Below are 9,670 nucleotides of genomic sequence, written 5' to 3'. Positions count from 1 at the left end.
ACTTACACCAACAGTTACTTTTCAGTCCTCACCCTAGGTCACGTCTCTAAAAACTTGAGAAAGTTATCACTCTATTCTTTTTGTCCTTTGGCTTCTAGGACACAATGCTCTTTTATTTCTCCTCCATCTTCTCTGACTCAAGGAAGGTCTAAAACATATAGGCTCAAACCAAGGCATATGGGCAACCTGGGAAGTCTCAAAGTTTTCTGTCCTTTAAAATTGTTTTATTGCCTGGACACGGTGGCTCATGCCTGTAATCTCAGCACTTTGGGAGGCCAAGGCAGGTGGATCACGAGGTCAGGAGTTCGAGACCAATCTGGCCAATATAGTGAAACCGCATCTCTACTAAAAATACAAAAAGTTAGCCAGGTGTGGTGGTGTGCACCTGCGATCCCAGTTACTTGGGAGCCTGAGGCACGAGAATCACGGGAACCTGGGAGGCAGAGGTTGCAGTGAGCCAAGATCACGCCATTGCATTCCAGGCCCAGTGACAGTGTGAGACTCCGTCTCAAAAAACAAAACAAAACAAACAGTTTTATTTGAATGTTATCAGTATTGTGTTGTGGCTAAGAAAAAGGGCTCTAGATTTAGACTCCCTGTGTTTAAATTTCATCTCTTCCATCTTGCTCACCTATAAAATGGACATCATAATGTCTACATCATAGGAGAGTTGTGAGCATTCATTGTTAGTCTGTGTAGTATTTAGATAGCGCCTGGAGTAGAACAAGTGTTAGTGATGATGTTGATAATGACTGTGATGATGGTGGTAATGATGATGGAGAGAGGGAAGTGTGTACTGACTAGATAGGATTGAAGGCAAAAAAGCCTCCCAGCTTTCACTACCCCAGCCCTACCCCAAGCAGTTCAGCTTTGGCCCCAACCCTACAGAGTCTACTCAGGAAAACAAAAGCCAAGTAGTTAATCTGACCTGTCTTCCTAGGAAGGCAGTTTGGTGACTATGTTATTAGAGAGTATATCCTTTAGAGGTGTCATTGCTTTCCCAAGTGGGCTATCCAAGTATTCCATTCAGTCATATATGGTAAGCCCCTCTAGAGGAGTTTTTGGTAAATACATTTTTCTCTATTGATATGGTTTGGCTGTGTCCCCACACAAATCTCATCTTGAATTGTAGCTCCCATAACTGCCACATATTATGGGAGGGACTCAGCAGAATATAATTGAATCATGGGGGAGGTTTCCCCCATACTGTTCCTGTGGTAGTGAAGAAGTCTCATGAAATCTGATGGTTTTATAAGGGGAAACCCCTTTCATTTGGCTCTCATTTCTCTCTTTGCCTGCTGCCTTCCATGTAAGACATGACTTGCTTCTTCTTGCCTTCTGTCATAATTGTGAGGCCTCCCCAGCCATGTGGAACTGTGAGTCTATTAATCCTCTTTCCTTTATAAATTACCCAGTCTCAGGTATGTCTTTATTATCAGCCTGAGAACAGACTAATGCATCTATTTTATTGCATTTACATGGATATTTTACCAACTGGTGATGCCTGATGACCCAGAGAGCTGCCCTGGATGAATAGCCCCCACAGTGCAACTCAATTCTGACAATGCCATAGTTTCTTTCAATGGCTCTTCTCTGTTTGACTTCCTCTAAATGCCTTTTTACTTCTAAATATTGATGTTTACTAGAATGTCATTGTTGGCTCTTTTGTCTGCTTATCTAATTTGGTGGTGCTCTAGACAGTCCATGTTGAAGTTTCAAGTGGCCCATGTATCCCTGAAATTACATGCAAGACTGGGTATATATGTGCATTTTTCCAGGAGAGGACCCGTGTTTTCATCCATATTCTCAAAGGCAGCTCAAAAATGAAGAACCAAGCTAATCCAAGTTATTCATTTTCATAAGCCTTTGGGGTCTTTGCCAGTCCTATTCTGTAGACTGGATGAGTTAATCTCTTCCTTTTGGTGAGATGAATAACTTTCTAAATCTATATGAAATAAAAGATATCCCCCCTTTGGGTAGAAACATGTCAATACTTCCTGTGTAACCCTTTAAACCTTCTCCTGGCCATGGCAAGCCTGACTTTTATATTCAAGTAGTATACGTATGTGATTAACTGTACACATTTCTGTTTATCTAGCAGGATTATATAATTCTTGTGTGGCATAACTAAATTTTGTTCATTTTTACATCCCTCAGTGCCTAGTCCAGTGCTTGGGACATGGTAGGTGCTCTGTAAACACTGATTGGAGGCCTGACTGCATTTTATATTCCTCAATTAATGATGAAGCAATATAGCCAGATCATGCTGCATTTATAAGTATTTAGCAGACAATATTACCAGGGTAGATTATGAATACGTATAGCAAAAACGCTATTGAGACAGAAATTCCTAAGGGAAATATATAAAATCACCCTATTTCTTTCACAGAAAAAAAAATACAAAATCAGGTTTTTCCACCATTATTAGGCTCCAATAAATATTCATCCTTTATCCCTCCAGGGGATCCCAAGCTTCCTGCAAGGGAAATGAGTGCTAAATGTGCCCAGTAAATCACTCTGTTTGTTTTCACCCTGTAGACAGAATGGCGATCTTAGTTGATTTTTTTCTTCCGACAGCCTAACGATTCAAATAACTTAAGATTTTTAATCCCCAAGACTAGAGGAGGACATGGTAAAATTGTTCATCCACCGCTTCCTGTTTAGAAAAAAACTGCCCATGAGGAAGGTAATAGCCACCTCTTGGGAGCAAAAAGCCCCACAACCTCCCAAAAGGGCAAAGCCCAGCTCTCTGAACTAACAATGCTGCCACCGCTCCCAACAAGGAAATTGCAAATCACTGCAGGGTGGAAGCTGGGCCTGCTTAACGCACCCTGAGGTCCTGGTTCCCATAATAAGTATTTTAAGTTAGGGGAGGCGTCAATCTCAATGACCAAAGTGCTAGATGAGTAAAGGTTGATCCTAATGAGGTTGCAGGCAGAGCTTCCATTCCTCCAATTGACTCTCCTCTCTCTCCACTCCTAGCAGCACCCCTGACCCCATCTCAACAGTGGCCCCGGGGAAGACTGGGTTAGGGAATACACTTGACTTGGTACAAATCCACTGTGGCCCAGCAAACAGTATGCAAACCATACCCTACTTACTGTGTATGGAGGACAGAACAATCGAGAGTGCCAATGTAAAAAATGATGCTGCAGGCATGACAGTGGGCCCCCGTGTGTCCTTTTCCTTAAGGGTAATTAACTGTTCGGATTCATACCTAAAAATAGGCACGCTACTGAAACAAGTTGTTGATGACCTAAGACAAGGCCAACCTGCCTGGCTCAGAGATACCTGAGTGTGTCCATCTTTTCAGGTAAATTAACATGACTGGCATTGGGATTTCAGCTTAAAAGGCAGAGAGTTGGAGCAGTCTACAGTGTTATACAATTTGTGCGTGACTGGCAGCAGGTGGAGAGTAAATAATATCTGCAAAAGAAGAAACTGCAGGCATTTGAATCAAGTGGCAGCAAGCTTACCACTTAGGCATGTTGTTAATAAAATACGTTGGTGTGATTTGGTTAAGTCCCTCCACCCCACCACCTTATTTTTTTTTTAACTTAAATCAATTTCTTAGAGCTAAAAGGCATGCAGCTTAGCAAAAACAGCAGGAAATTGCTTTAGAATGCTTATACTTCATTTCAGGGAATTTTTTTTTTAATCTGAAGTAAATAAGCCATATAGTTCTTCCCTGCCATAACAAAACATACAATGACCCCATCTGTGATGAGGCAGAACCAGGGTTGCCTTGCCTGGGGGAAAGTTTAGAAATTTCTGAGAAAAACCCATAAATTGAAGTTGTAAGCTGTGAGGTGGAAGCCTTGCAAATGATTTGCAGTTTACAGCAGTTACTCAAAGCAGTCAGATTCTAACTGGGGGTCAAGAGAGCGTCCATGTTTTACAGATGGATAAACTGAGGCATAGAGCTTAAAGACCGGCTCTTTAGAGTTTAAAGCCATGCCATGTCACTGATAGAGACTCCTTCCTGGGAGGAAAAAGACAAAAGACCTCTCTCCAGCAGAGGCTAGTATAACCTCAGAGAAATCTATCTGAAGATATGAAAGCATCACTAACAACCAAAAAATAAAAGATCTAGAAGGCTGTGGTGGGAGGATCACTTGAAACTAGGAGTTTAATACCAGCCAGAGAAACAGAGAGAACCTGTCTCTACAAAAAATACAAAACATTAGATGGCCAAGGGTGGCAAGTGCCTGTAGTCCTATCTACTCAAGAGGCTGAGGTGGGAAGATCACTTGAGCCCAGGAGTTCAAGGTCACGGTGAGCTACAGTTGAGCCACTGCACTGTAGCCGGGATGACAGAGAGAGATACTGTCTCAAAAAAACAAAACAAACAAAAACAAACAAACAAAACTAGAATGTAGGTAGGAATCAGGATAACTGGGAAGCAAATTAACCTCGACCTGGGACTTCTTTAAATGAGTTTGCACAGCTGTCTCAATCCATGTAAATCTCTTGTTATATAAACCCACTCACTTGATCAACAGAAACAGAGGGAGTCCAGATGTTAGCGGATAGAGCTCTCATGCACCCAGCTTCCCTAGCTTGGAATACGCCAGCACTGTCTAAAATGAAGCTAAGCAAAACCCAAACAAAACCAACACCCAAACACCAAAAGCAAACCCAAACAAAATCCCAACCAAACAAGTTACAAACAACTAAGGATATTTTCTAAACCCATTGACTGACTCATGACTTTCTGGTCTCCCTGGCTCAGATTTCTGAGAGCTTTAAAAAATTGTGCCAAACAAGGAAGTACCATTGCTTAATTAGGTCTTGCCAATTATTTTGCCTGATTTTACTTTTTTTCTACCTCCCTGCTCCATTCCAGTGACATAGTAGGCTTCCCTCGACTTTCTACATCAGCACACTGTATCAGGTAGTGGACTTCCTGGACAAGCTCTATACCACCTTTGGGAAAAATTATAGACCATTATGATGTCTACAACATGGAGACGATGGGAAATGCTTGTGACTATTGATGTATGGGTGGGTATTTTAGACATGGAATAATATTAATTTTTAGTGGAGACAAAGCTTGGAATTAATGGAAAGTAACCATTTATGTAAACATTCGAACTTTCTTAAGTTGTAAGCTCCTAGAAAGCAAATCTTCTTAGTAGTCTCAATTGTGCCTATGGCTTTTCTCATTGTTGTCCCCGAGGAAATGTCTACTGCTTTGATTTGAGAGCCATCCTTTTCAATAATAAGGGAAACAAACTGGTTTTATATTTTTACTTTTGTGGTCAGACTTTCCGGCACTTAGCTCAATGATCTCCAACCTTTTACTGACATAGGTATTTTCCTTTCCTCATGGCCAGTGAGGAAAGGCGGTGAATTTTGAAAGACACACAGAACAAATATTTAGATAAAATTATAATATCAATAATCATTACCGACTGTAATTTCATTTTTAATTGTATAAATTGAGAAGGGAACAATGAAATGTTTTGTTAGCCATCAGGCAAACTGAAAATAGATTTAGAAAGTATTTAAGATTCATTTTTTCAATGCACAGTAATTGAGAAACCTGTATGTGCCAGGCACTGTGTTAGCACTGGAGCTCTAAAGGGCAGAAGGCTGAATGTGATAGATGGATCTCTACCTTCAGGGTGCAGTCTAGTAACACATAGAAGGACTGAGACCAATAGCCATGTTGAAGAGGAGACGATGGTTCTCCCATCACCTTCATTACTCCACCTGCTGCTCATGAAGGTTGCTGCGGTGAGTCACTGCAACCCACACAGTTCCTTTTCTTTCCATTCATTACTGAAAAATACTGCATTATGAGGTTAATGTTGATGAAACTATTGTGTTCCTACAATTCCTTGTGTTTCTTTTCATTACCATAAAACACTGCATCATGAAATTAAAGTTGCTATCATACATGACAATGTAATTAAACCACATTTACTTTGAATTTTACTATTATCTCTGGGCTTTTCTTCCCCTTGCCTCTAATTCAGAACCATTGAATGGGTGTTTAGACCCAAACCTGCTCCAGCAAAGATAATAACTTTTAATATATCTAACAATTAATGGGTAAATACAGGGCACTAACTACATAGTAAGCAGGGATTTTGATTTTCAATAACCCTCAGATTTAAAGGATTTCCCTTTATTCTCCAAAGGTAAGCTCATTATACAGAAATGTAGGTGAGGGTCATAACACTATCTCTGATGGCCACCGCTGAAGGAAAAAAAAAAAAAAAAGAAAATTGAAATAATCTTTTGGCTAAATTTGAAGTAAATTTTGCTTGGAGTTGATGAAAAATATATTAAGTACTTAGGCATTTAGGACTTGATTGTAACTAACTTTCTGCTTTGTTATACTTTAGGGATGTGCTGATTAACTTGTGTTTTGGTCGAAATCTGAAGTGATGCTGAATCTTCGTCCTTTAATGTTGTCTGTTTTATTGTTGAACAATTTTATCATGCATCGTGTGAACTTTTATGCTTATGGTGTGTATCATCACAGCACTGGACAATAATGACTCACACAGTAGAATAACATAACTGTATACTTGCATCAAGGGTAGTTAAAACATGGTAAGGTTTTCTCATGTCTTTATTAATAATGATTAAAAAATTAATTATTCACCTCTGAGTTTGGCCAGTGGAATTATCTGGAATGGTGGTTTTGGGGCTAAGTTCTATGATATCTCATTGCATGAAAACTAACAATAAAACCGTCATGTATCAAATACTTAGTCATATGTCAGGCATTGTGCTAAGGGCTTGACATAGATTATTTGATTATGGTATATATCTTCACAACATTTCTATAACCCAGATATTATTATAATCCCCATTTCCCAGATGGGAATGCCAAGACTCAGTTACTTGTCCAAGGTCACGTAGCTTATAAATGCAGAGTCAGGTCTTAGACCTGTCTGATTTAAGAGCACATGCTACTGATCACTTACTACTTTGCTTCTTGTGGTCAGTAGGGAATTTAGAGATTTACTCCAACTGAAGAGGAACCTTAGGCCCAGGAAAGTTAAAAGACTTAGCTAGGTTCCCTTTGTTAGTTGGCAAATTTGAACCGCCCATGACTTAGATCTCCTTAGCTCATGTCCTTTTTGCTCAAGGTGAAATAGGCAATTTGGGCTATAGGAACATCTGCAATTTCTATTTATCAATATGGAAAACCCTAGAGTTGTCCTGTCCTCTTCCTGGCTTTTTCATCTTGTATCCAGACGGCCAGTCAGCAAATCCTGTTGATTCTTTTACCACGGTGTCTTCCATGTGGTAGCGCTTATGTGAGATAATGGTTATGAGTCTGATTCCAGCTGGGTTCAAATCTCAGCTGTGCCACTTCCTGCTGGATGATTTTGGGCAAATTAGTTAGTCTCTCTGGGCTTCAGTTTTTTGGTCTGTAAAATGGAGAGGAGAATGTCGCCTGCCATATAAGATTGTTTTGAGGATTAAAAGCACATGGAGCGCTTAGGATGCCTGGCATAGCATATGCTCAGTCAGTGTTATTATTCACACAGCTTTTCCTTTTCTGCCTCAGGGCTGGTTCAGATCTTCATCTTCCCACATCTGGACAAAACACAGTCCTCTAAGCATCCTGTCTCTTACACTATTATGAGATGAAGCTTGTCTTGTTCTCTTGCTCAAGAATATAACTGCCTATGGCATCATATCCAGACTCTCCAGGCTTACATTCAATGCCCCACATGACTAACTTCTTCAGCCTTTGCGATGAGTTAAGACAACTCTACAGTTTGGGGGCACAGTCCTCACATGACTTCCCTCACTTCTGACATGAGCTGCAAATTTGGTAATGCGCAGGCTCATCCTTATTTCAGACCAGCTGGCTACAAATCTGGGGACTCCCACAACCACCCTCAAGTTCAATAATTTACTAGAATGACTCACAGAACTCAAGGAAGTGCTATACTTCTTATTGTAGTTTTATTACAGTAAAAGGATACAAATTAAATTCAGCTTAGAGAGGAGACACATGGGGCAGAATCCAGGCGGGGTCTAGTGCCAGCTGCCAGTCATTTTCTCCCTATCGGGTCATGGACAACACTGCTTCCTCCTGGTCACCATGTGCAACGAGACACACAAAGTGTTGTCAACCATGAAAGATCACCTCAGCCTTTGGTGTTCAGAGATTTACTGGGGCCTGATCACATCCTGCCTGAGTGGCTGACCTTGAGTTTCCAGCCACTTCTGGAGACTGGAGATCAAGCTAATATCTTTAGTTGTTCCTCCAGAGGTCATAAATGACACTGCGTGGCCCTAAGGCCACAATCACAAATCACATTGGTAGGCTGTTAGTAGCCAAAGCTCCCCAGCAACAAAGACTCAGGCAGGGCATTCTAGGGGCCTAGGAACCAACTCCCAGTACCTTAGGGTAAAAGCCAGACTTCTTTTTGGGTAAGGTTAATTGTTTACTACACAGCCTTATTTCCCATTGCTCTTCTGCAGGACATCTCCTGCCAAACAAGGTAATACTCAAACGGTCCCATACCATGCAGTTTTTTTTTCACCTGTAATATTTCTCCCTTTACTTCTAAAATGCAGAAGCACTTTGCATTCCATGAGGCTCAGCTTAAGTCTTACTTACCCCTAGAAACTTTGCCCAAAGCTTTTCTAATCACCCACTTTTCTAACTAGTTGGTGTATGCCTTGTGTGGCTTTGCAATGTGGCTGGTATTCATAGACTTCCCTGAGCCTTATATCTCTCTGAGCCTATGTGTCCACCCAAAGTAATTGCTTAGAAAATGCTTATTATTGATGATAATTTTCCTTGTGTCTAAGGCATTCGATAAATCTCTTGACATGAACTGAACTGTTTCTTCATGATTGTAAATTAGGCATCTTTGTTGGGTGTATCTTATTCTTTCTGATGATTTGGGCTTTAATTTAGATATGTCACTAAGTGAATTATTAGATCCTAAAACAATCAAATTCAAATTGACCTTCAGAATGTTTGCAAATGAAAACAACAAGTGGTGGGTTAACATAAGTGGTCCCCAAGAGGTCAAAAAATGTTTCCCTGGAACCAATGCACTGAGTGAGACTGGCTTGGCAGTTATTTTTACTGTGACCCCTTGTGGGTTAGACCCTATAAAAGTTGGGTAAATCTCATCCAGAGAGCTCTTTTGAGAAATAATGATGCCTTGTTTTAGTATCCCGAGATCCCAGGATTGAGCACTTAGTTAGGAAGGACCACTGTCTGCAGGGTAGAAAGATGGGTTTTTGCTACTGCTGGGTAGACAAACAAGTTCCCTCACCCCCAAAACAGAACACCTTTACCAAGGTGTCTGAATGACTGGCTCCATTCAGACATGGCCTCAATGTCCATGCCTCAGTTGTCATGACAACCGTGTATGTGTGTTTGTGTGTGTGCACATACATGTGTGTCTGCTGAATGGTGTCTGGAAGCAGCACCTTCAGCATCCAGGCAGAAATAGGTGGGGTGTGCTGAACAGGGAGTGTCTACCCACTCATTTAAGCAACAGTGTCAGAAAAGGTTGAAGATATTATTCAGCATCAGAATTTCAATTAAACTCCCAATCAGCTATTCCATCATTCATACGTTCAAGGTTAGTGTCTAAGTATCTAAGTTCTTATTCTTTATTGTACCAATACACACTATGATTCAGCAGTGTTCTGATCCTGCTGATACTGCTCTATT

At 40.7% G+C, this 9,670-nt stretch overlaps 1 long non-coding RNA gene across 1 annotated transcript; it reads left to right on the top strand.

Moving 5' to 3' along the window:
• The first annotated feature begins 487 nt into the window (after positions 1 to 487).
• On the top strand, positions 488 to 6,622 carry LOC107987060 (uncharacterized). Its single transcript, XR_007061452.1, has 2 exons — positions 488 to 5,739; positions 6,354 to 6,622. It is a non-coding gene; the product is annotated as an uncharacterized LOC107987060 (long non-coding RNA).
• The last annotated feature ends 3,048 nt before the right edge of the window (positions 6,623 to 9,670 follow it).

The sequence above is a fragment of the Homo sapiens genome, chromosome 9 (genome assembly GCF_000001405.40).
Source record: "Homo sapiens chromosome 9, GRCh38.p14 Primary Assembly".
In the NCBI taxonomy this organism is placed as follows: Eukaryota; Metazoa; Chordata; class Mammalia; order Primates; family Hominidae; genus Homo; species Homo sapiens.
The sequence above is the reverse complement of the archived record's forward strand: the minus strand, read 5'-3'. Positions and strand labels throughout refer to the sequence as shown.